The sequence below is a fragment of the Homo sapiens genome, chromosome 11, assembly GCF_000001405.40.
Source record: "Homo sapiens chromosome 11, GRCh38.p14 Primary Assembly".
Taxonomy (NCBI): domain Eukaryota; kingdom Metazoa; phylum Chordata; class Mammalia; order Primates; family Hominidae; genus Homo; species Homo sapiens.
Genome location: NC_000011.10, coordinates 64,665,484 through 64,691,236, shown reverse-complemented (window position 1 = coordinate 64,691,236; position 25,753 = coordinate 64,665,484). Strand labels below are relative to the sequence as shown.

The window sequence follows — 25,753 nt, the reverse complement described above, 5'->3', positions numbered from 1 at the left end:
TCCAGGGAGGATCTCCTTTGACTTGCACAGCCCTTTTGTAGGCACAATGGTGGGATGAAGAACAGACAGGAATTACAGGAAGCCCCTGGAAATCTCTGGGAAGCTCCAGGGTCTAACTGGCAAAGAAGTGGGCAAGGGTGAGCTTCCGAGCACTCACTGTGGTGAATGAAGCAGGTGTGGATGGCCTCAAGGTGTAGTGAGAGCCTCAAGGACAGGAAAGAACAGAAGAGGAGCTTGGGATATAAATCTGGAGAAGTTTCTGGAGGAGGGGGTGTCTGCGTCAGGCTTTTGAACGAGTTGGGAAGTGTGAACTTAACCCAGCATAAAGGGTGTGAGCAAAGGTGCAGAGTGGTGGGGAGAATGTGCCTCATGGAGGAGGCAAGGAGAATGAGCGAGCAGTTGAAAGGGGGAACTGGGGGCCTCCAGTGCTGAGGGCTGGCCTGTTTGCCTGCTGTGGGGAAGGAGGGATCCTGCACTCATGGTGAGGCCTCTGTTCCTCTGCCCAGTCTCCCCACCCCAGGCAAAGAGTGGAAGTCGGTGATCATGAATCTGATGGGGTCTGTGGGGCTGATCGCCCTCGGTTTGTCAAGCGGCTCCTTCCTTAGAGGTCTTGAAGGCAAGGGAGTCCCCAGAAAAGCCTCTCCTCCCCTGTCCGTGCAAGCAGCACCTCCACCCTGGAGAGGGCCCTTCATCCCCTCAAGGCTGGGGAGGGACTGGCTCGGTACCCCCTGTGCCTGACTCCCCAATTCTGCTTCTCCAGTAGGGTCCTTACTGTTCTCCGAGGGGGGGGCCGGGAGAGGAGGAGCCGGCGATGTGCACCAGCCAACAAAAGGTCAGTGACCCCCATGGTCCCCAGAGAGCCCAGCCCTCATCCTGCTGCAGGCTAACTGTGCTTCCTGGGGGGAAGCCAAGTCAACGCAGGCACATCCCCTTGTCCTCTCTGAGGCCTGTGGGAAGTGATGGGTCTGCTCCCCGAGTGCCATTCCAAAGGCCCCATTAGCTGCCCTGATGTGAAGGGCCACAAACCTCCATTTCTTTCGCAAAGCCCAGTTGTTCTGATGACTTCTTTCTAGAACACAGGTATCTTTTTATGTGGCAGTTGTTCAGGCTGATCCCTAGGAAGTATCTGTTTCTTTGTTAAGGCAACCAGGCAGCACGGCAACCCCAATTTAACCATCAAATTCTGGAAGCCTGCTAGGTGCCCAGTCCAGGGAAATTCTGATTGGGAGCTGTGGCCAGCACAGGGCCTTTAAGCCTGCTTGGGGGCTCTAGCTCCTTTTTCTGTACTGAGGCTGCCTTTCTTAAGACAATCTCTTTCCTAAGAAGTTTACAAGCCACTATAACAAGTCCTCAAGGAACTCCAGTGGGTGCCAAGCACTGGGGCTATGGAGTCCCATTTCCATTCTTTAGTCTGCTCTTCTGTTTGCCTGGATTTCCGCCATCCTTGTCCTCTCCCCAATGACTTGGTGTGTCTCTTTCGTCTGACTCTTGAAAAAGCAGCCAGGCCATGCACACTGGAAGTCTCCTTGAACACCCCAGGTGAACCTGGTCACTTCCACACTTTGTCCACACTTCCACTAGAAGGCTCATCACACTGTATCATAACTGTCACTTTACCTGTTTGCTTCCCCAACTAGACCAAGCTCCTTGAGGCCAGGGATTGGATATTTTTGTTCCTATGCCCCCGGTGCTTCACACAGCTCTTGGCACATAAGTAGCTGTGTGCTCAGCAAATTTATTTTATATGAGCCAATGGGCTCTGTTACTAAGGGGCTGATTGATGTTCTAACACCTACAATAAAGTGTGGTCCATGCAAAGTACATGAAAAGTGCAGACTCTTTTCAGAGGAGTTAATTTATTCATTGAGGCCAGGCACGGTGGCTCATGCCTGTAATCCCAGCACTATGAGAGGCCGAGGTGGGAGGATCACTTGAGGCCAGGAGTTCAAAACCAGCCTGGCAACATGGTGAGACTCCATTAAAAAAAAAAAAATCATTGAGAAAGAGAGGGAGACACAGAGAGAGGCAGGACACTAGCAGAAAGTTACCAACTGGCATGAGTCGTTTATTTGTGGGATGCTTTATGGTTGAGGAAGCTGGACCCCACCCTTTCTCTTTCTGAGGTGCCCACAGCAGCCTGTGCAGTTCCTGATGATCAGCTCCATTTTCCAGACGGGGAAGCTGGGACTTAGAGCCCAGCTTTGTGACCAGCGAAGGTCACAAAGCTGGTGGTGGAGCCAGCACTAGCGCCCAGGTCTTCTTTCTCACATCACATTTCCTCTCCAGGGAGCAGTACAAGATGTTATTAGGCAGTAAGTGCCAAGTGAGCAGAACAGACAGCTGTAGAGCTCGAGAGTAGGGAGGGCGGAGGGGGGCGCTGGAGACCTTCCCAGAGGAGGTCTGGGAGCTGGGCCTGGAAAGAAGGCAGCTGCTTTGTCCCTCATGCATGGTTCTCAGAAATGCAGGACCACAACAACTAGTCTCTAGCCACATTCACTGGGGACACTTGTAGGGCTACAGACTCCCCAACTGTGGGAGATAAACGAGCATCAGCTATTATCTTCCTTTCTCGGTCCGGAGCAATTAGGGGCGGTAATTGTGCAAGCGCTGCTGGGAGTTGTAGTTCCCAGTCGCGCCAGACCGGCGAGATAGGGGAGAGCGCCCCCTGGTGCTTCAGGGCTTGTTCAGCCCAGATCTTGTTTGTGCTCTGCTGAGCCCCTCCGCCGCCCCTACAGGCTCACCCCAGTAGAATCCCTCCACCAGTCCCTTGAAGTCATGCTCCGACCTCCCCTACTCAGGTTCTCTCTCTCTCTCCTCACCATCTTCGGGTTTTCTTTCCACACTTGCTCATCTCTTTTTCTGTCCCTCTTCTCGAAGGCTTTCAGGTTCTCTTTGGCTGCTCCTCAGGCCTCTTGGCGTCTCTGGGCTGACCCAGGTCTCCGGTGGTAAAGGGACTGGAGCCCGTGGAGGCGCAGGCTCCAGAGTAGCTAGCTTTGCCACCCACCCCAGGAGACTGGAGGCAGGGCTGAGGAGTCGAGAAATGGCCTCGTTTCTCCACTTGGCCTTGGCAGCCACTGTCCAGCCCCAGACCCGCCTCTTTCCTTTTTGCTGGCCTCTTGTTCTGTCCCAATCACTTACTCACATGGTTGCCTTATTCTTTTCTTTCTTTCTGTTTGACTCTCTTTAATGATACTTTCTTTGACTGCAGTGAAGGTGAGGGAGTGGGAGGAATGGCTTCTGGGTGGGACTAGTACATGTGGCAAAACCAAGGTCAAACATTCCTTTTTCTGGTCCTTGAGCCCCCTGGTTCTCCTAGTGCCTGGGCAGCAGGCTTCGTTGCTATGGAAACAGCAAGGCCCCAGAAAGCCTTGGCTTCTGTTCCCTAGAGGTCCCTGTCCACTTTCGTTGCTGGCTCTCTTCCCATCTCCTGTACCTGTTCCCGCAGGGCTTGCTCCTTTTCTTTATCCAGATAGCCGCGCTCATCCCTTCTTGCTCCCTCACAGCCCTGAGCCGTCTTCATTTCTTGTCTGTCTCTGCGATGGTTCTCCTTTTCCTGGCTCTGCCCCACCTCCCTCCTTCCCTCCTCCTTGCCACTCTTCCCCGCCTTACCCTCTTGTCTCTGCTGGGGTCCTCACTTTTGCTTTCTGGCCCTCCCCGCTGGTACCATAAGTAGACAGAGGAAGGGATTCAGACTGTCCCGATGTTGCCCAGGCCCCCACCAGCCTTGCTGCCCTGTGGCCTCAGGAAACCGGGCCTTGCCAGCTGCAGTGAGTGCTGTGCCAGGCTCTGGGGCAGCAGCTGGTGCCTTGGCATCCGGAGGCAGTGAGGACAGAGGCTGTGGGCAGCCTGCCTAGAGAGAGAGAAGCAGGCTGTGTGTGGAGGGGAGGGGATCTGCAGAATCTGCACTCCGAAACTCCCCCCCCGCCACCACCCCACTGCCTCAACACATAGCACTGCTGCTGAGCCCTGCCTCCACCAGGGGAAGGCAAGTGCTTCCTGGTGGCCCTGGATGCACCCTGGCATTGTGCCTGTTCTTGCTTGGGCATTGGGAGCATCTATTGAGAATTCCTGCATTTGGTTAGCTCGGCCTCTTCATAAAGACCCTCACGGCCAGTGTTGTTTGCCCTGCACCTGTCCAGTGAGGTAGGCAGGGCCAGCTGTGTGCCACTGCTTAATGGCCAGAAGTGAGCCACTGGTAGAGCCCAGGTCCTCTGGTTTGTCCTGACTTCATATCCGGTTCTCTTCTCTCTGCTTGCACTCTGGCTTGTGCTGGTGTTGGACAGAAACCTCAACTTCTTGGTACTACTGAGTCATTGTCTTCTCACTTGTTACCAACTTACAGAATGCTGACAATCCCTCAGCCTCTCCCAGTAGTTTTTGCTTCTGCTTAAAAAGTGCCAGTGGAAGGGCCCTGTGCCGGGTGCCTATGGACATACATGCACACACACAGACATGCACACACACAAGGCCCAGGCCTGCTCTTGCCCTGTTACTCTCTGGGCACACACAGGTCACATCCAGGCACTCTTTGCCCTCCATCTTGGGCCTGTCTGCGCCGTCCTTGGCTTGGAGTAGGGAGCTGGGGGTGGAGATGATAGCTGGGGCTGTGGCCACCCATGTGAGCTCTGCCTGGTGGCCTGTTGCTATCCGGTGCATATCCCTGTCACCTGCATCGCCTTCGTGTGTGTCTTCCTGGCCCTCCCCACATTCCCCCACCTCCCATTCTCCTCATCTGCTCCTTGCTGCACAACAGGCCTATTGGTCCCATCCCATATGGTGAGGCTGAAACTGTCTCCAGGCACTGAGATTGGCCATCGCTGGAGGAGGGGCAGGAAGGGAGGTGGGCTGTGCGTAGGAGACCCTTGAGGACCCTGCCATACGGGAGGAGCACCCAGGGAGAAGTAAGGCAGAGCCTCTTATTTCCCTTCTATGTCCCTTTGTTAAGGGGAGTGGCCGATGGGAAGGTTGGTGGGGAGGAGACAGTGAGCACCCTCCGCTCTGCTGGGTCCTGTGGCAGAGTAATTGTCAGCTGTCAGTGTGGGAGCCACTTAGCAGCCTCCTGGTTTGGAAATGGACACAGGGGACATTGACTTTTGACAGCAGAGACGGCAGGGTCCTGAGAGGATGGTTGACAGGCCGAGGGAGGGAAAGGGGCCTAAAGCTACAGGTTGGGACCTCTGGGCTCCTGGTGCCCAGGACCAGTGCCTGCGTTGCTGGAGGGGAGAGGGAAGCACTGGTGTACCCTGCCCCATTCAGCCTTCTCCCGTTTCCCCACACCACGGCATCCAGGCAAGGAGGAGTTTGTGGCGACCTTCAAAGGCAATGAGTTCTTCTGCTACGACCTGTCACACAACCCCATCCAGAGCAGCACTGATGAGATCACACTGGCCTTCCGCACCCTGCAACGCAACGGCCTGATGCTGCATACAGGCAAGTCGGCCGACTACGTCAACCTGTCCCTCAAGTCTGGGGCTGTCTGGCTGGTCATCAACCTAGGCTCAGGTGCCTTCGAGGCCCTTGTGGAACCCGTCAATGGCAAGTTCAACGACAACGCCTGGCACGACGTCCGGGTCACCCGAAACCTGCGCCAGGTAGGAGGAGTGAGAAGAAGGCCAGGGATTAGCTATACCTGGGGTAGAATGGGGGTTGGGAGAGGGGGCTGCCGGGAGCTTGTGGTGGAGGGATCAGGGCTGGGCAGTGAGGTGTGGTTCTGGAGAAGAACAGGAGTTGGGGCTGTGAGGGTCCCGACATAAGGCTGCAGTGGCTGGCAGGCTTCAGAGACCAGGGAGCTGAGCTGAGGAGGCTCCAGAACTGTCCCTGGGCAGGAACCTGAGGGCAGGGGAAGGACTGGGCTCAGATTGTTGGGAGCAGCTGGGCTCTCGAGGGATGGGGCTAAGAAATCAGGTGATTTAGCAGGAGGGCAATTCAGGAGATGGGAGGAGTGAGCCAGTGCCTGAATGGGTGCTCCTGGGTGCCAGGGGGTGGGGAGGGGTTCCTGTGGAGTGGGCAGGCTTTGGCCTGGTGGAGCAGATGAGGGTGTCCCAACACTAGGGCAGCAAGGCACGAAGGCAAGCCTGAGTTAATGTGTGCGGGCAGGATGTGTTCTGCCCCCAGCCGAGGCTTTTTTAGGGCAGAGGCAGAGATGGAGCCAGTGAGGTGGTGGCATAGTAGGTAGGTGACAGAGAGCAGGAGCAGAGAGGGGGCTTGGCCCTTCATCTCCTCTGGGCAGGACATGCCCTTCTTTTCCTTCTCTTTCTTTCAAAGGAGCCAGGCCCTCCCAGCATCCATGGCTTGCTTTCTGCCTCCCCTTGGCTCCTGGGCAAGCCCACGCAGGTGCTCAGAGTCCTTCCTGCATTGGCTCCTGCAGACAGGAGCTCCTGTTCCCAGATGCTCCCACTGGACAGGTCCTCTTAGAAGTGGTCCTCTTCACCTTTCCCAAGGCCCAGGATGGCTAGTGCAGGTGAAGCTGTCTCTGACCAGTCTCTTCCTAGTTATCTTCTCTGAACTTCCTGGTTCTAGCGGTGTGGTGGCTAACTTTCCTTGTCTCTCCTCCTGTCATCCTCCTTCTCCTCCCCTTCCTCCCACTGAAAGCCTCGTCAGCAGGCTCAGGATCTTGGCTGGCCTCCCACTCTTCCTACCTGTTCTCATTTCACACCATCGATGATGATCTAGTGGGGATACCTCTCATTAATGCCACTCCTCCTTGCCAGGAGAACGCAGTGACTAATCCTGCTGCTTTTCCTCAGGCCTGCCACTACCTGTTGCAGCCGGGCTCCTACTAATGTGCCTATTCTTAGGGACCCCTGCGTTTCACAGAGTGACGTGCTTGGTGGAGTCACTCCTTAATGCGGGGCTCCTCTTCTTGTCAAATCATCCCTTTACCCAATCAGAGGGCTGTCCCGCGTTGTCATTACCGAGCACATCTGAGTGTGTCATGTGCATTTGTGACAGTTTCAGATGCCACACACATTTTATTGGGGGGTATAGAGGAGTTGCCTCTAGTGCTTCCTGCTCACTTTGCTCTCTCTAGGACCAGCGCTGTCACCTGGTACCGACTTCGGCAAGATGCTCCAAGTTCAGAGTTCCTATCCATGCATCATATGACCAAAAAATACATGGCACATCCATACTGGGAACAGAGGGGGAAAAAAAGACATGGTCCCTGCCCTTCCAGGACTTCAGCTCTTGAGGAGACAGGATGAGTCTGTTAAAAGTGAATAGAGCAAAGCCATGCCAGTGCCAAGTGAGCAGCAGAAACCTTAAACACCCTAGGACTCAAGTGATACCCAAGACGAGGGAGAGGTCTGTGGCTAGGGGAGGTGGGAAAGCCACACAGAGGAGGAGACACTCGGCCTCAGCAGTGCTGAGTGTAGACAGTGACCCTCGGCTGCTTCTTCCTGGGGTTCCCGGAGTCGAGAGTCCAAGCTGGTAACTGATGGAAACTTCTTCCCCTGGATTGTTCTACCAGAAGTCTCAGAGCAGAGAGGCAGGTCATATTGACCCTAAAGCAGGTCCTGAGGTCCACAGAGGGTGTCTGCTTAAAGACTTTGGTTGAGTGCTCTCTTTAAAAAGGGATTCTGGGGGAATTTCTTTTCTTTTCTTTTTTTTTTTTTTTTTGAGATGGAGTCTCACTCTGTTGCCCAAGCTGGAGTGCAGCGGCGTGATCTCGGCTCACTCCAACCTCTGTCTCCCAGGTTATAGTGATTCTCCTACCTCAGCCTCCCGCGTAGCTGGGATTACAGGTGCCCGCTACCACACCCAGCTAATTTCTGTATTTTTAGTAGAGATGGGGTTTCACCATATTGGCCAGGCTGGTCTTGAACTCCTGACCTCAAATGATCCTCCTGCCTTGGCCTCCCAAAATGCTGGGATTACAGGTGTTAGCCACCACACCTGGCCTCAATCAAGTTTCTGTAGTGTCTGGGTGACATCCTGGGATTGGAACAACACTTACATGATAAAAAGGGTGATGATGGGTGGAGTGGTTTGAATCAATATTCTGTCTTCCCCAGGTTTTGTGGGCCAGGAGCAAGGACAGGGAGAAATGACATCTGTCTTCAGCTTTACAGGATAGAGTGCCAGGATCTGAGAACACTGTGGCTTCCAGGTTATTTTTCTCATTTGATTAGAATGGCCAGGGAGATGGCCTTCTGGGGAGGACCTCTCTGAGAACCAGCACTGAGGGGTCTCCATTCCCTTTGCTTCTGCAGCCATGGGAGTGGGTCAAAGGCCAGCTCCAAAGACTGGAAGGAGGCAGAATTTCCCTTTTTCCCTTGGACTTGGTAATTATCCCTGGAATCATCTAGAGGCTCTCAGAACATAGCAGTTAGGACCAGGGGCACCTGATGAGACAGTGTCTCCTTCTCTCCTCTCTCTCCTTTCAAATCCAGCCCTTGAGGTCACTGTGACCAGAGGTGTCTCTTGGAGGATCTTGGCAGGAATTATTACCTCTGAGGATTCCCCGAGGTCTATTTTAAATCCTGGGCCCACTCTCCTCCCATACCCAGTATGCTTCCCAACTGCCTCCCACCACCATGCAAGCAGTGTGCAAACCCATTTCCTCATTAGCCAGCACCAAATTTGGAAGACAAGCTGGCTATCGAAATATCACATGGTGCTTCCTCCTGCCCAGCTTGGATAACTGCTCTCATTGGTGCAGAGGCTTTCAGGAGCTCCTCCAGGTCCCAAAAATGGAGTCCCCAAGGATGCAGTCCTCAAGGATGGAGTCCCTCAAAGATGCGGTCCGCAAGGATGGAGTCCCTCAAAGATGTGGTCCCCGAGGATGGAGTCCCCAAGGATGGAGTCTCCTAAGGATGCATTCTCCTAGGGATGGAGTCCCCAAGGATGGAGTCCCCTAAAGATGCAGTCCCCAAGAATAGAGTCTGCCAAGGATGGAGTCCCCTAAAGATGCAGTCCCCAAGAATAGAGTCTGCCAAGGATGGAGTCCCCAAGAATGGAGTCCCCCAATGATGGAGTCCCCAGAGATGGAGTCCCCAATAATGGGGGACTGCCCCAGGGGCAGAGTCCTCTAAAGATGCAGTCCTCAAGGATGGAATCTGCCAAGGATGGAGTCCCCAAGGATGGAATACCCAAAGATGGAATCCCCAAGAATGGAGTCCCCAAGGTTGGAGTCCACCAAGGATGCAGTCCTCAAGGATGGAGTCCAGCAAGAGTGTAGCCCCCCAAAGATGGAGTTCCCAAGCATGCAGTCCCCAAGGATGGAGTCATTAAGGATGGGGAGACCCCTGGGAGTCTTGGGATGCATTCCTTAGGAACGCATTCCCCTAAGGATGGAGTCCCCAGGGGTGGAGTCCATCAGGCAATTAGATTCCTTTCCTCTCCTTCCTGCCCAGGCCTCTCTCCCTCTCTGGCATGGTGTACACCCTGTCTCAGGGTCTGCTGTGCTGTTCTCCATACTCATCCAATTTTCTTAGTTTTTCCCTTTGTTTTCACAGTTCTCCTACAGATACCACTTAGTTGCCCTCCTTTCTTTCTGGTGATATCCTAGATCTGAGGTTTGAGTCAGAAAGACCAGGTTCAAATCCCAGCTCTGCCAATAGTTTGAGTGCTTTTAGGCAAGTTATACAACCTCTGTGAGCTTCAGCTCCTCATCAGTAAAGTGAGAATGAGTCTTTTGATGACTAACTGGGGTATTGCCTTAAAACACTCAACACAGTGCCTGGCACGAATTAGTTGTATTTTTTTCAATCCTTCAGGCCCAGCTTAAATGCCACCTTCTTCAAAAAGCCTTCCTTGATCCCTTCCTCCAGCCAGCCTTCCTTCTTTGCTATGTTCTTTGAGCCCTTGGAAACGTGTATTTGAGCCGTCTCATCACATTCTGCCTGTGTTGTCAATATTTGTATTCATTCCTTATCTGTACTTCTAGGTGGTAAGCAAATTGGTTGCTTAATACCTGCAACTATTGAGTGTTTGTAGTTGTTTTCCTAGTAGTTTTTTTCTGATCCATTTGGTCTCTTTCCTGAAGGCAGCTGGTAAGGTTTTGGACACGAGGACCCATGTCCAAAAGTAGCAGATCTAACTACTTCATGTGAGCACTGAACTACTTCTTGTCCTCTTGGAAAAAAAACCCTCCAATTCACAATTCACTTTTTTTTTTTTTACTTTTTTTTTTTTTTTTTGGAGATAGAGTCTCACTTTGTCTCTCAGGTTGGAGTGCAGTGGCGCAGTCTCAGCTCACTGCAATCTCTGCCTCCCAGGTTCAAGTGATTCTCCTGCCTCAGCCTCCTGAGTAGCTGGGATTACAGGTTCCTGCCACCATGCCCGGCTAATTTTTGTATTTTTAGTAGAGACGGGGTTTCACCATGTTGGCCAGGCTGGTCTTGAACTGTTGACCTCAAGTGATCCACCTACCTCAGCCTCCCAAAGTGCTGGGATTACAGGCGTGAGCCACTGTGCCTGAGCCTAATTCACTTTACAAGACCAGAAGAACACCTCTCCTGGTCCTTCCTCTAAATTTCCTCAGGACTTTATCTTTCTGTCACAGCGTTTCTCAGATTGCACTGTAACGTCTCTCCCCACTAGCCCCTGGCCTCAAGGATCTCATTTCTCTTTACTATCTCACCTAATTTTTATGACAACTCTGTGAGGTGGAGATATTATTCCCATTTTACTGATGAGAAAAACAAGATGCAGAAGGTTAAAGAACTTGCTCAAGGTTATCCAGTTAGGAAGTGGTAGAGTTGAAAGTCTGATTTTGAAACCACTCTGTTCCTCTGCCTCCAAGTGAGGGCCTGGTTGTTGTCATTGGTGCAAAATGCAAAGGAGGCTGGGGTTTGTCCTGTGCTTCTGTCGTTCTTGGATGTTCTCAAATTTTGAAGCCATTTCAATGTTCTGCTTGTATGTCTGAAAAATGGGTCCCTCTTATGTGCAAGTGGAGTGGGTTCCTCTTCTCTTTGTCCTGAGCTTCTCTTACTCAAGGTCCACAGATTGTCTTCACCCCAGATTTTTATGATTTGTGTAAATATTCCCTCTCTTGGCTTTCTTGAGCAGGGCTGGAGCTACACTCATATTTCAAGGTGGAGATGGGGTATAGTTTTGTCCCGAGGCTCTCCTTTCTGCCTGGTGAATTCCTACAGTTGGTGTTTGAGTCAGAAAGACTTGGTAAAAATGACCACATGATATGATGTGTGACTTCTCCCCTCTGTGACTCTGATGCCCTTCTCATTCATCATGTGTTGTCATGCTTGTGCTCCCAGGCTCCAGGAGCTCTCTAGCTCTTTCTATGAGTGGGATAAAGCCTTTGTTGCTCATCTGTTAGTCTGAAGCCTCAGTTCTCCAGATCCTGGCCATAGGGAAGGCCTGGGCTGCTGTGTACCCCTTCCCTGTGCTGTGTCCGAGGCCACCAGGAATGGGTTCCAGTGGAAGCTGCATTCTAGTATTTCACAACAATTGCCCCCATAAACATGATCTCCATTGGACTGGGTCTGGATCCTTAATCCCTAGGTCTAGAGGGGCCCCATCTCATCTACTCCAACCCTGCTATTTTTAAGAGGTAGCCTGGATCTCTTGTCAAATTAGTGGAAGGCCCAAGGGTTAGAACTCACATCTGTTTCTTCTCAATCCTGATTCTTTTTTTTTTTGAGACAGAGTCTCGCTCTGTCACCCAGGCTGGAGTGCAGTGGTGTGATCTTGGCTCACTGCAAGCTCCGCCTCCTGGGTTCACGCCATTCTCCTGCCTCAGCCTCCCAAGTAGCTGGGACTACGGGCGCCCGCCACCACGCCTGGCTAATTTTTTGTATTTTTAGTAGAGATGGGGTTTCACCGTGTTAGCCAGGATGGTCTCAATCTCCTGACCTCATGATCCGCCTGCCTCGGCCTCCCAAAGTGCTGGGATTACAGGTGTGACCCACCACGCCTGGCCCTCAATCCTGATTCTTAATTTGCTGTTCTACTTCTTAAAAATGGAATCTTGTTCATAAAGTTGAAAACTTTTGAATCTTATTTTATTCTCCATAACCAGTTCTAACTCAAAGAGTAGTAATTGGATTTTTACCTCCAATGCCTTTTTCTTCCTGCCTTGTTCGACTAGTGCAGTGATACCAGACAACACTTACCGTTCTGGGCCTGGTTGTTTAGCTGGCCTGAAGCTAATTGTTCCTTGTTCTGACTAGTTGGCCTCTTCATTTCATGACAGTCCTACCAGCCACCAGTACTAATCCTCTTACCACACGCTATCCCCTGACTCCCATCACTGCACCTGCAATTAGACTCTTCTCTTGCTATGTAAACTGCTTCTGCATCACTAATAATTAATATTGGTTATTCAGCACTTCTTCCGGCTGCTAAATATTGAATTCTGTTATTTTTAATTATATGAGGCCCTTATTCATCATCTTACTGAATTAGTCCTGTGCCCACTGGTTATAACAGCTCTCTAACTAATGGATCTGTCCCTAGAATACCTCTCCTTCTCACAATCACACTCTCGGGGGTGCAGTTTAGTATTTAACAGGCATCAAGCAATAATGTCCCTCCATCTCTAATACTCTTAATTAAAGCTGCCTCAGTGCCTCTGACATGTCCTCCCCAAAGACAGGGGTAATTTGGAAGGTGGTTGTTGCTGCTGTCTGTGGCAATGAGAAGAGAAAATGAACTTAGAACCACATGAGAGTGGGGACACTAGAGATTGGAGTAGAAAGATTGGGCTTATAGCTTAGGGAAAAGTCAGGGATTTTAGAGGTTCCTTTTTATGGGTGTAGGGGAGTGAATTTCTGGTGCTGGCTGTGGGAAGTGGAGACTCAGGGGTTTATGGGTGTACATGAAAGGAGGCTGTGCTGCTGGGATGGCCTTACCAATTCTAGAGACTGGTAGGGGTGGTGGTGGTGGGCACTTGATTCTGGGAGGGACAGCAGCCCAGAGAGTGAGAGAATGGGGTTGGGGTGATTGAAGAGCCTGGAGAACTTTTGGGGAAAGTTCTGAAAATTCAAGGTGGACACGTGGGAGGAGTCAGCTATGGGTGGGAGATGGGGAGGAGAGGGAAGAGGGTCTGGAATAATTTGATATAATGTGTGAGCCATCTGCCAGTCCGTGGAGGGCAACATTTCCTTTTCCCTGTTCTGGTGGCGACTCACTCTCTCTTCCTTTCTTAAGGATGAGAAGAAAACAAAAACAAAAACAAAAACAGAGGAGCTGCCCCTCTCCTCAGTGACTCCCTGGATCGATTTGCGTGTTCTCCATCCCCAGGAAAAGCAGGCATCCATGACCCCTCCTATGCTCCTTGGGAACCCCTTCCTTTTGCCTCCAAATGAAATTGGCTCTCATTCTTGCCAGTCCTTTGATTCTCTAGGGGTTATGCCCACTCTTCTCCCAGCCTGATAGCCAGCTGGCCCATCACCAACTGGTTAATCCATTAACCCGGCATGGCCACTGGTCAGCCAGTTGGCCAGCACCAACTTGCTCTTTAGCCAGTTCTCTGGAAAGCCATCTGGTTGATCAGTTAGCCAACAAACCCATAAGTCCATGGCTCCAACCAATAGCCCATCCCTCCTCACAGCCCTTGTTCCCTCCCTTCCTTCCCCTCCACTCTCTAACATTTCAGCTGATAGGACTTACTAATACTGCATAATTGGGTCTGCTTCTTAATCCCCTGCCTTCCCTCTCTCACCCTCTGTTGGAAAACCCCGTTGCCGACTCTGTGTGTGTTACTAACACGCTTATAACCCAGGGGACCAAGGGATGGGCAGGGACAGGTGGGGCAAGGTATGAGTGAAAAACCGAACTAACCTTTCTGTCTCATCTGCGGAATGTCAGCCATCTTTAAGTCTTTGGTTTCTTGGTCCAGTTCTTTTGTTGTTTTCTTCTCTACTAACCAAGGTCTCTAACTGTTCCCCTTCTCTGCAGACGGCTCTTCTTCGGGGAGGGGATGGTGGGGAAGAGGAATCCAGAGGAGGGGCGGGGTAGGGATGGGGAGAAGAAAGGACTTAATTTTTCTGTGTGTTTTATTTCTCCTCCCCCCATTATAATTTAATTTTCTTTAAACAAATACTTTTGCTGAACCTAAGGTGGGAGGGTTGGAACAAACAACCAAATATATATGGATATATATTTTTTCCTCGTTCCTTGAGTTTCACAGTTGGTCATTTTATTTTTCTTTTCTTTTCATTCTGTTCTTTTGTTGTTGTGTTTGTTGTTGTTTTTTGACACCCCCCTCCTCCCCATCCCCCCATATCTCCGGTGAAGCACGCAGGGATTGGACACGCTATGGTAAACAAACTGCATTATCTGGTAGATATCACTCTAATTGTCTTACCGTTTGGTTTGCCGTGGGTTTTTTTAACTGTTCGATTCTCCCTCTTTTGTTTCCTCTCCCTGTTTGGTTTTTTGGTTGTTTTGCTCTTCCAATTGTTTTTTGCGTCCTGGACAATCTTTAGATTTTGCTTCTCTTTTAGTTTCCCTCTTTCCCTTTTCTTTCTTTTTTGGTCCAAACTGAAATACAAAAGACAAATGGAAATCGAGGAATTTGGCTTGTCCCTGCTGTAATCCCTAACTCCTGAATTCAGATTCCTGGCCAGAGAGACCTGGGGGCAGGCCCCATGTTCATCGGCTCTGGTTAGACCAGCCCCGATGCCAGGCTGCTTATTTCTATTGCTTTATTTTGTTCTTTTCCCTCCCCTCCCTTGTTTTTTCTCTTTGATTTAGTTTCTTGGTCTCCTGAAAATCCATGGAAAACACCATCCCATGACATGCTATGCTCTGCTCACTGTCAGCTCCCTGGACAGGGCCGCTCAAGTTTGAGGAGGGGTCTGGGGGTGAGACCTCCAGTGGCAGCCAGTGGGGTGGGTTCCCAGGGGTGGAGGGCATGGCCTTGGGAGATGCGGAGCTGCCTGAGATCAGTCCAGACCTCATGCAAATCATCAGTTCATAGCAGTTTGGGGGCTGCCCCATGCTGGCTGCTCTGGGAAAGGTGCCATCCCCTCCCTCACTTCTCAGCCTTGAGGGTTCCTGGTTCCATGTCCCCCACATTTTGCATGGCATGAATGGTCTTTTCCCCTGACCAGGGATAGCGTCCAGTTCCCCCAACTGCTCCGCTGCTCTGACTAACACTGTGTTTCACACTGTCTTCCTTCCCGTCACCCCCTGCCCTCTCTGCCCGCTGCCTGCCCCGCATGGCCTCTGACAGGGGCTGGTTTCCTTCCCTGTTGAGGGGAGCGAGAGGAGGAGGCCTGCAGGGGTGGGAAGGGGCAGCATTGGTTGTCCTTGTCACCGAGCTCCTCTGTTTGGGTTAGGCTCAGTCCTGGTGAGTGTTGGTGTGGGTGTCTGTGTAAATGCAGCTGGTGTGTGTTGGTGTGTGGGTGTGACTGTGTGTAAATGTTGGCGTGACATTTCGGGGTGTTAGTGGGAAGCTGTACTGTGTGTGCGAGGCTCTGCTGGTGACTCTCCACGTGTGAGCTGGTGTGAGCTGGGGGCTGCGTGACTATGTGGGTTTTTGAGCCTGGTGAGGACTCTGTGTGGAGGTGGACTGTGGAGACTGGCCCTTCAGTTGCAGTGCCATGGCAGTCAGGAACAGGGAAGGAGCTGGGGCTAGCCCTTTGCTCCTTGCCTTGCCTCAGAGTGTGTGTGCGCAGGCCCTGCTGCGTGTGATCCCCTGGGATTCCCTCGTGCCTGCCCAGTCCTGGCTCTGCAGCAGCAGCCGGTTAGTCATCGCCTATTAATAATGCAGAGTGACTGAACACCAGGCTGGGGACCCTGCAGATGGACGTGTCTGCTCCCGTGGGGCAGCTGCCTGGCCTGCCCAGCCTCCCAGGTTTGTATGGCTGGCTGGTGAGGAGGGAAGCGTGACAGTTGGGGCTCCCAATCTGAGTGTCTCTCCCACTTCCCTAGGAGGCTCTACCTCTGAGGCTACATCTGGCTTTTCCTGATACTTTTGCAGATCCATGTTTTCCTGCACCCATATAGACTAGTGCCCATGGCCAAAGCCATTCCAGCCCTCCCCAATTTAAGACCTCAGGTGGCCACTCCCAGTGGTCTTGGTGTTCCAATGGGGCATACAGTGCCAGGTTTCTTGTTCCTCCAGCTGCTGCTTCTAGGAGTTAGCTGCTACCTGCCCGGCTCAGGCCAAGCCATTGAGTACCTGTCAGGAGCTGGCCAATTGGAACTTTCTTTACGGTGCTTCACTAGATAACCAACCTGTGACTTTAGGGACAGAAGGGAGGCAAGATCAAGCCATGTGGTACACCCCAAGCCTCTGGGGAATACCATCCTAGAATTAGGACCCAGCAGACTTTCCATCTAGCCTCAATTTGGTTAAAAATTGACCACATGGGCTGAGTCTACTAAAGCTCAGTTCCCTTATCTACCAAATGGGCTAATAGTGGTAGTATACCTGCATTGCCTACTACATGGGGTCAGTGTGAAGATCAGGTAGAGTAATAGAAGTGAAAACATTTGTACTCTGTAAAGGAAATTGTAATGTTACTAAGCTTTATAAAATGTTAACTGGTTATCTCAGTGTTTCCAGGGCAGGGATGTTTTGTAAAGAAATGATTCTCTTCCCTAGCAAACCCTGGAGAACACAGCATCTCTGGCCCACTGGAGATCCTATTACCATCTCTTCTTAAGAATCAGTCCCAAAATAACTGTATGAAACCCTAGAATGCTTCAGGAATTGGGCTGGAGAAGAGGAAGAAAAATGAATGACTTGATTAAATTGGTTAAGAAGCAACAACCAGCTAGGCACCTGTAATCCCAGCTACTTGAGGCTGAGGTGGTTAAGCTGGTTAAGAAGCAAACAACCTGCTGGGCTCATGCCTGTAATCCCAGCACTTTGGGAGGCTGAAGTGGGTGGATCACCTGAGTCCAGGAGTTCAAGGCCAGCCTGGCCAACATGGTGAAAACCTGTCTCTACTAAAAATACAAAAAAATAGCTGGGTGTGGTGGTGGCCATCTGTAATCCCAGCTACTCGGGAGGCTAAGGCAGGAGGATTGCTTGAACCTGGGAAGCGGAGGTTGCAGTGAGCTGAGATTACGCCTCTGCACTCCAGCCTGGGCAACAAGAGTGAAACTCCATCTCCAAACAAAACAAAACAAACAAAAAAAGGAAGAAGCCAACAACCAGCTATGCACCAGTAATTTCAGCTACTCAAGGCTGAGATGGGAAGAGTGCATGAGCCCAGGAGTTCAAGACTAGCCTGGGTGACATGGCAAGACCTCCCCACCGCCTGCTTTTTTTTTTTTTTTTTGGAGACAGAGTCTTGCTGTGTTGCCTAGGCTGGAGTGAAGTGGCGCGATCTCGGCTCACTGCAACCTCTGCCTCCAGGGTTAAAGCAATTCTTATGCCTCAGCCTCCTGAGTAGCTTAGACTACAGGTGCATGCCACCACTCCTGGCTAATTTTTTGTATTTTAGTAGAGACAGGGTTTCACCGTGTTGCCAGGCTGGTCTCGAACTGCTGAGCTCAGGCATTCCACCCACCTTGGCTTCCCAAAGTGTTAGGATTACAGGCATGAGCCATCGTGCCCCAGCAAGGCACCATCTCTAAAACAAACAAACAAACAAACACCCTATCTCTAAAACAAACACACACACACACAAACAAAACAAAAAAAAGTAAACAATACTGTCTTGTTTCAGTCCTGGAAAGGAAAGTATCTGCTAAATTCTGAGTCTCTAAAGTCTGCACTTTCCTGCATGAGCAATACTGACTGATAAACAGACCTGGTTGCCTTTTGGTGGCCTCATAGACCTTCATAAATCTGTACTAGGAATCAGCTCTTTCAGCCAAGACCAGAGTCAGAGGCCTTGTAACAGGGTTCAATGTGTTCTGATTCCCAAGGCATCCCCCAGACAGGTTTTGGTTAGTTTCCAATTTATTTTTACTAACTCATTTATATGGACTATTTTCATGTTGTTTGAGCACTTCTTCTTGGGGGAGAGGGTGGATATAAAGCAAAAAGGCCAACCTTGAGAAGGTTGAGAAGTTCGGATTAGGTGTGATCAGGCTGATGGAGTTTGCTTGTACAAATAATGATAGTTCTTTGTACACACACTGGGACTCTTTGAATAGCTTTCCCCTTTTGAATATCATTTAAACTTGAATGCCTGGACTGCAAGTAGCAGGCAGAGATTGTTTCCAGTTAACAGATGGGGAAAGCTGAAGCCCAGAGAAAGCACCTTGCCTAGGGTCAGATAGCCAGATATCGAGGAGTTTCACTTCAGTTTTCTCATTTGGTGCTCAGAGTAAGCCTGGAAGAAATGGGAGCGACAGTTGTTAAACTCCTGTCACAGATGAGAGTCAGAGGTAAAATGGGATTGTTCTGGAAAAGGATAAAGGCTGAATGAGAGCCCAGGATTTCTGACCTCTTTCCTCTCTATTCCCAAACTATCAAATCCAGACCTCAGGATTCATGACAGGGCTGTGCCTGCTGGTTCAGTCCATCTTCATGGTGTGTCTTTCCAACCCGAGTCTCTGGTTAGCTTCTGCCCTCTCATTGAACAGGTAGCTAACCCAAACCCTTAGCAGGACTTGCAGTACCTTACTCAGCCTGGAGACCCTTTCTTCCTCTTTGTCTTTGTCCCTTATTTCCACCCACTCAATCCTAAGGGGATGCCAGGACCTTTCCCCTAGACTAGTTGCTCTTAACCACCTTTGGCTCATGGATACCTTTGAGAATTTGATGACAGCAATGGACTCTCACAGGAAAAAAACCCACGGAGGCAGTTTTGCACACAATATCAAGGGGCTTGGAATCTCCCAAGCTCAGCCAGCTTGCCCACAAGTTAAAAATACCCGCCCTCCGTCTTGTTCTCCCCAGATTAAGTCCCCCTCCCAAGGAGGTTAGTGACCCTGTGATCATCACAGGCAACTGATAAAGGCTCCAGAAGATGGCAGAAGGATACTTCCCCTCTTCCTCAGCCTTTCTTCCTAAGGCATGTGGACATGGAGTGCCCACCAATGTGGAGTTATTTATGGCCAGGACTTAGTTTCATATCCTGCACAGCCTGCCACAGGGGAGGTGCATGGAGCAGAAAGAGAGGTGGGGTCAGCAGGGAGGGCTGAGAGCCCACCCAAGTCACAGGCTGCCCCTTGTGTCCACCTCCAGCCAGCCTCTCTGCTCCTGGGGAGTACAGTGGGGGCTGGGCAGTGGGCTCCTGCTGCCTCTGCACCCTCTCCCTTCTCTGGCTGGACACAACTCTTCCAGGGCAGAAGCTCTGGCTCATTCCCCTTGGCCAGCTCAGTACCCACTCGGCCTGCTTGTCTGTGTTGAGTGGGTTGGCATGGGTTGGGTGCAGACACTCTGCTGTGTCTCAGTGATGCTGTTTGGAAGGAGAGAGCTGGAAGGTCCCACTGCCCTGGGTAGGATGTGGTATGTACGCAGGTGTGTCTCGGGGTTGGTGATCGGTGGCGAATGGGTGGTGGAATGAGTGTTGGGTCGCCTGCTGTTGAGGAAGGTAGAGTCAAATGTCTTTTCTCTTTATTTTTCAACCCATAAGTGTCTCTGTCCTAGTGGTCACTCCTCTCTCTTTCCCCCCATCATCGGAAGGAAGCTCTCCCTACCTGCACCCCACAGCTCTGTTGCCTCCATCTCTGCTCCTCCCAGTGCCCCTGCCCCGCACGCCTTCTTACCTGGCTGCCTTTCTCTGGCCTGTCCTGCTGGGTCTAGCCCTCACTCTGCTCCTCTAACCTGCATGTGTCCAGCTGCAGTGGCTGTTCTGTGTCGCACGGCCCCCTCCCTTCCCTCCTCCCCCACCGGCCCCACCCCTTCCAGAAGATGCGTGGGGGGGAGGTTGGGGGGCAGGGGCATCATGAACCCCTGGGGTGGAGGGGGACCGGGGGAATTATTCCCCTGTTTCCTGCTTTTACTAACGAACCTGCCATTTTTGTGTCTGGACTTTGATTCGTCTGAGGGAACAGTCGGGTTTTACTAATCTAAGTCATCTCCCTCCTTGCCTTCCCCAGAGACCTTCCTCCATTCCCTCTACCCTTGGCTTCCTTTCCACCCAGAACCCGTCCCCACTATCTCCCTCTACTCCCCACCTCTGGCTGATCCCTTTCCTCAGGGCACTTCCTTATGTTGTCCTTCCTCCTGCTACTCCACCCCTGGGTCATAAGAGGGTGATTAAGGCAGCCCTTTCCGGGTAGGGAGCACATGGGAGTGATCTGCAAAAAGCCCAAGGGGGTAAGGTGAGATTGTGCCCAGTCAGGAGGGAAACTGAGGAGGGTGTTTCCTCTTCTCTACCCCACACTGTCACCTCTTCTAAGTCTGAGAGTGCAAAGGGAGGGTGACTTTGGCAAAGGGAGTGGGATAGAGAGAGCCCATAGGGTGAGGGAGATGGCCAGTGGCTGGTGCCCTGGCTTCTGAGGCCAGTGAGGGAGGACACAGCTGAGGGGCTCAGGTGGGCTGAAGGCCAAAAGAGGAGATTCTCTTCCTGGGGAGCTTTGGGACCAGAAGAGCCCTTTCCCTGCGCTGAAGCAGGAGTGCACTTGAGTTTCTGTCACCAAAGTCACAGGCTCCTTAGGTATTAGGTTCATAGATGGGGATGCAGGCAGTGTGGCCCTGGGTCATAAGGCGATCTTTAATGACTGTGTGCTGTATCCCCTGGATTATGTTCAGATTAGTGGGGTTACAGGGACATGTCAGGCTGGTGCCTGCCCCTCAGGAGCTGACCAGTTGGGGTGACCAGACTTAGGCACAGGAAGTAATCAGCAGCCCAGTTCCTGGTCCCTCAGTGCAGCATCAGGCAGAGTGGAGGTGGAGGGCTGGATGGAGCTGAATTTGCCCCAGGGAGGCCCATTCAGCCTATTACCCACTCCCTGTCTTATCCCTGACCTTTCATCCCAGTTCCTTCTTCCCTTTCTCCAGCCCTTCTCTGCCAGGTCTAATCTCGTTTGCATGTTTTTGTGACTAATACTTTGACCCTTCCCTCTTCTACCCAGACCCCTACTTCCCAGCCTTAGGGTGGGGTGGAGGGAAGAAGAAATAAACGATAATGACCAGCCCTCCCCTCAAATAAGACTCAAAAGCTTTCAGACTGCCCCTTTCCACAAAGACACCCCCTTACCTTCTGCTCTTGAACCTAGTTACCCCAGCACAAGGTTTGATGGTTCCCAGGAGGTGGAGAGTGGGGCTTAGCTCTACCCTATTCACTGCGAGGCTCCAGCCAAGCACAAGGGGGACTTGGGGTCCTGGGAGGGCAGGAAGCTCCCTTACCCCAGTTCTGCTCATGTCCCTTTGGAGTTCCTCCACCTCACCCACCGAGACCATGGACCCCTGGAGACCAGTCGCTGGAAGATGGCTGGTGGCATGTGCATATAGACTGGTGTGGGTGAGGAGGGCATAGGATGTGACTGGAAGGCCCCAATCTCTAGACTGTTCCCGAAAGAGAAATGGGGTGAGCTGTGGCCTGCAGAAGCACAGTGTTGGGCTAACCCTGAGCCAGCTTCCTGTTGACCCTGCAGAGCTCTGCCTTCTTTCCCAGCTGACCCTTCCAAACCACTGCCTTCCTAGAGTAGGGGCTCGTGGTCTCATAGCCCTTGGCCCTTCTCCCACAACCTTTCTGGGTGTCTTGAACCTTGTGGGCTGCTTGTAGAGTTAGATTTTTTGGAGAAGGTGGGCATTTGCCTGGGGAGACTGGGAGAGTTGGAGAGTTTCCTGTCCTTGTCATGCCCCGCCCCATCTAAGATTACTTCTGCATTCTCCAGGCCACCGCTGAGCCCCCCTGCCTCCTGGAATACCAAGTACTCCCCCATTCCTGCTCATCCTGCTTTCTTACTGAACTTTCAGCCCAGGGGCAAGGTATTCATTAAGTTAGCCCTGTCCCCGTCTGTTCCCTAAGCTGGCCCTGACTCCCTGGAGTAACTCTAGTGGTGTCAGTAGACAAGGCAATTAGACAGGAAGAAGGAAGAGTGGGTTGATGTAGCTAAAGGGCTCCCCTCTCCTTTGGAGGCAAGAGAGTGACCTGAATATAAGGAGACCTGAGGAGTGAAGAGACAGACTCAGGAAAGGGCTAGAAGTGCAAACCTGGAGATTGGGCTGCAGGGGTGGAAATCAACCCCAATAGGCAACCCCAGAAAGTTTCAAGACTTCCCAGGAATATTTGAGTTCCTGCTCCTCACACTGCTATCTTCCATCTCCCTACTGGGTCCAGACTGAAAGACTTTCCAGCACCCAGCAGAGAGGGCTGCAGGTGAGTCTAAGCCACCAAGGTCTGGGGAACACCATTCTCTGGCACACTTTTGAAAGAAGTTCTGGAGTTACGTGTGTGTCCAGAGAGTACCTTCAGGAGAAGAAAAGTGAGGATGCCATTTGCACCCATCCTGTGCCCCAGAATGGGGGATCCGTCCTGGAGCCCCCATTCCTGTTCAGAGTGCCCTCCAGGAACTACTTCTTGGGGGACCTCATGGGGAGCTCTCCAAGTACCCTTCAGGCTCCTGCCTGCTGAGTTGGGGGCCAGAGGGCAGGTCTTAGCCCACCCTGAAACCATCAAATCTTGTGCTGCCTCCTTTTCCTCATTTCCTCTCTTCCCCCACTGTTCCTCCTCCAAGACAAGCAGACATAAAAATGGGGGTCCCCCTCCCCTGCTGCCCTCTGGCCCCTCCTTTGCCTAGCCGTAGCTCTTCCTAGGGATTTGATGTTGGTTGTCTCCTGTCTTTCTCCCTCCCTCCTGGGCTGGACAGGTGACCATCTCGGTGGACGGGATCCTGACCACCACAGGCTACACGCAGGAGGATTACACCATGCTGGGCTCTGATGACTTCTTCTACATTGGGGGCAGCCCCAACACAGCTGACCTGCCGGGCTCGCCCGTCAGCAACAACTTCATGGGCTGCCTCAAGGACGTGAGTAGGGCTAGGGAGGGGCTGCAGGCTGTTCAGGAGCCCTTTGTCTCCTGTCTTCAGCGTGACTTAGTCTGACCTGGCTAGTTGTCTGGGTCATCTGTTCCTTCCAAGTCCATGGTGGGAGACACCCCCTCTTTAAAACCTAAGGCCCACTGACTCCATCAAGAGGCTTCTCCCCTTTGATTTCCTTGAGCCTTGGAAACCCCTATCCTCATAGAGGACCCTCAAAGGCAGCTGTGGTACAGAGGAAAGAATGCTGGGTATGAAGACTAAAGACCTTGCTTGAGTCCCAACTCTTCCACTCATTGGTTCTGTGACTGTGGTCAAGTCACTTGACTGTCTGATGCTGAGTTTCCTCCTCTGTGGATGGGTAGTCAGTGCCTACTTCATAAGGTTGTGAGGGGCACATGAGAGTGTAAGTGAACATACTTCATTGAGTGGAAAACAGCTACCACACGTCAGTGGCCTTGTCATTATTATGAACTGCAATTTAGTGGGCACTGAGAACCCACAGGCAAGCCACCATGCTCCTGCTGGGCCAGAAGACAGGACAGAGGACGGGCAAGGGAGGTGCTTGTTCACAGCCTCTGTGTCTGAAGCTGTAGAACAGAGGCCTAAGCGGGTGGTCTGGTGGAACTGAGCAGGGGCTACAGGGGTGGGTGGCTGGGTCCCCTGGTGCTCGCTGCTGGGTGGGAGTGGCCAGGCCCTAAGCTGCTTTCGGATTCTTTATCCCTGACCCCACCCCTCCCTGCAGGTGGTCTATAAGAACAATGACTTCAAATTGGAACTATCCCGCCTGGCAAAGGAAGGGGACCCCAAGATGAAGCTGCAGGGGGACTTGTCATTCCGCTGTGAGGATGTGGCTGCCCTGGACCCTGTGACCTTTGAGAGTCCCGAGGCCTTTGTGGCGCTGCCCCGCTGGAGCGCTAAGCGCACTGGCTCCATCTCCCTAGACTTCCGCACCACCGAGCCCAATGGGCTGCTGCTCTTCAGCCAGGGCCGGCGGGCTGGGGGTGGAGCTGGCAGCCACAGCTCTGCTCAGCGGGCCGACTACTTTGCCATGGAGCTATTGGACGGCCACCTCTATCTTCTGCTGGACATGGGATCTGGGGGCATCAAGCTGCGGGCATCCAGCCGCAAGGTCAATGATGGCGAGTGGTGTCACGTGGACTTCCAGAGGGATGGGCGAAAAGGTCAGGAGGCCTCTGGACCCTTCCCCTTCCATGGGCCACCCCTTTCCATCTGCCCTGACATCCTCTCCGTCTCTCTTCAGCGGGTCTCTTCTACACCATTTCCTATATTCTTCCCTGCCGCTTCTCCTCCACCCCCCTCACGTCTTCCCAATTGTCCTTTCTGTCATCGGACATTGGCAGAAAGAGCACAGCATTTGGCATCAGTCAGACCTGGATTACACCTCAGCTCCCCTACTTGCTGCATGTGAGACTCTGTTTCCTTATCTGTAGAAGGAATAACCCCACAAGGGCCATCGAGAGGAGAAAATAAGAGCACATCTGTGGAAGCATTAGCACAGTGGCCAACATAGAGTAGATACCCCATTCACCTTTAAGAATATATCTTCCGGCCGGGTGCGATGCCTCATGCCTGTAATCCCAGCACTTTGGGAGGCGGAGGTGGGCAGATCAGGAGGTCAGGAGATCGAGACCATCCTGGCTAACACGGCGAAACCCCATCTCTACTAAAAATACAAAAAATTAGCTGGGTGTGGTGGCGGGCACCTGTAGTCCCAGCTACTTGGAAGGCTGAGGCAGGAGAATGGCGTGAACCTGGGAGGCGGAGCTTGCAGTGAGCCTAGATTGTGCCACTTCACTCCAGCTTGAGCGACAGAGCGAGACTCTGTCTCAGAGAAAAAAGAATATATCTTCCCAGCCATGCCTCCCTTCTGTCTAGAGCCATTCAACTTAAAAAAAAATTAACTCACTAGGCCGGGCGCTGTGGCTCACGCCTGTAATTCCAGCACTTTGGGAGGCCGAAGTGGGTGGATCATTTGAGGTCAGGAGTTTGAGACCAGACTGGCCAACATGGTGAAACCCAGTCTCTACTAAAAATACAAAAATTAGCTGGGCATGGTGGTGCACTCCTGTAGTCCCAGCTACTTGGGAGGCTGAGGCAGGAGAATCGCTTGAACCCAGGAGGCAGAGGTTGCAGTGAGCTGAGATCCTGCCATTGCACTCCAGCCTGGGCGACAGAGGAAGACTGTCAAAAAAAAAAAAAAAAAAATTAACTCACTCAGCAGTTACTGAGCACCCACTGTGTGCCAGATGGTGTCCAAGGTTCTGTAGATATGGACAGCAGGGAAACTAAAGAGACGATCTTGGCTGTCACAGAACCCCTGTTCTGGTGTGGGGTGGGAGACCATGGAGTGAAAAAGACAGTAAACAGCCCCACACCCCTACCTAGCAGTGAGGGCTCTAGAACAATAAAGTGTCAGGGCAGAGGGTTCTGGGGTCAGACAGATGCCTGTTCTTGAATCTTCTGTTGCTTCTAGCCACTCTCTTCTTTACCCTTCATTTCAGTCTTTTGCATTCTCTTCTTGTTTTCTGTCTGCTAATTCTCTCTCCTTTACTCTTCTCCATCTTGTTGAACATGAGAGAATTATCCAAGAAAGGGAAATTGATATAAATGAGAACTGACACATTATCCAATTTAAGCACTTATCAACGTCAGCTAAATTTTTGTGCTCCTCCGCCTGTCACTGAGCTGGGCCTGTGAGTTTGGGTGGAGTGACCGCTCCTCCCCATGCAGGAAGGAGGGGCCCCTGTGGCTCTGGGAGAGTGACAGTTTCTAATGGGCTTGCTATTTCTTTAGCTTCCATCCTCGAAGTGTTGCCTCCCCCGGGCTTTACATTAAATGGTTTCATCCCCGGGGTGTGTCTCAGGACAGCACCAGGAATTCTTCCCAGAGCCCTCTGCCCCACAGGGTTTCTACCAGGTGGTCAGTA

At 51.9% G+C, this 25,753-nt stretch overlaps 1 protein-coding gene across 7 annotated transcripts in view, besides 2 other annotated features; it reads left to right on the top strand.

The window, feature by feature from the left end:
* NRXN2 (neurexin 2) overlaps nt 1-25,753 on the top strand; it is a 117,024-nt gene that overhangs the window by 31,961 nt on the left and 59,310 nt on the right. For 2 of the 7 annotated variants that reach the window (NM_001376267.1, NM_001376263.1), the window contains exons 5-9: nt 761-832; nt 5,290-5,591; nt 14,200-14,223; nt 22,633-22,794; nt 23,549-23,987. In NM_001376267.1, the coding sequence (NP_001363196.1) occupies nt 761-832; nt 5,290-5,591; nt 14,200-14,223; nt 22,633-22,794; nt 23,549-23,987 (999 nt within the window). Of the gene's footprint in view, nt 1-760; nt 833-5,289; nt 5,592-14,199; nt 14,245-22,632; nt 22,795-23,548; nt 23,988-25,753 lie in introns of all 7 variants that reach the window. The other 5 variants (NM_001376262.1, NM_015080.4, NM_001376266.1 and 2 more) reach the window with 4 other exon arrangements.
* Nucleotides 2,288-2,337: an enhancer, noted in NCBI's record as "active region_4907". NCBI's record gives its function as "activates an Ori minimal core promoter by ATAC-STARR-seq in GM12878 lymphoblastoid cells {active_cell/tissue: GM12878}" and the evidence as "EXISTENCE:reporter gene assay evidence [ECO:0000049][PMID:35858748]".
* Nucleotides 2,477-3,397: an enhancer, noted in NCBI's record as "H3K4me1 hESC enhancer chr11:64455312-64456232 (GRCh37/hg19 assembly coordinates)". NCBI's record gives its function as "activates a minimal SCP1, AML or CMV promoter by ChIP-STARR-seq in primed H9 embryonic stem cells {active_cell/tissue: H9 hESC(primed)}" and the evidence as "EXISTENCE:reporter gene assay evidence [ECO:0000049][PMID:30033119]".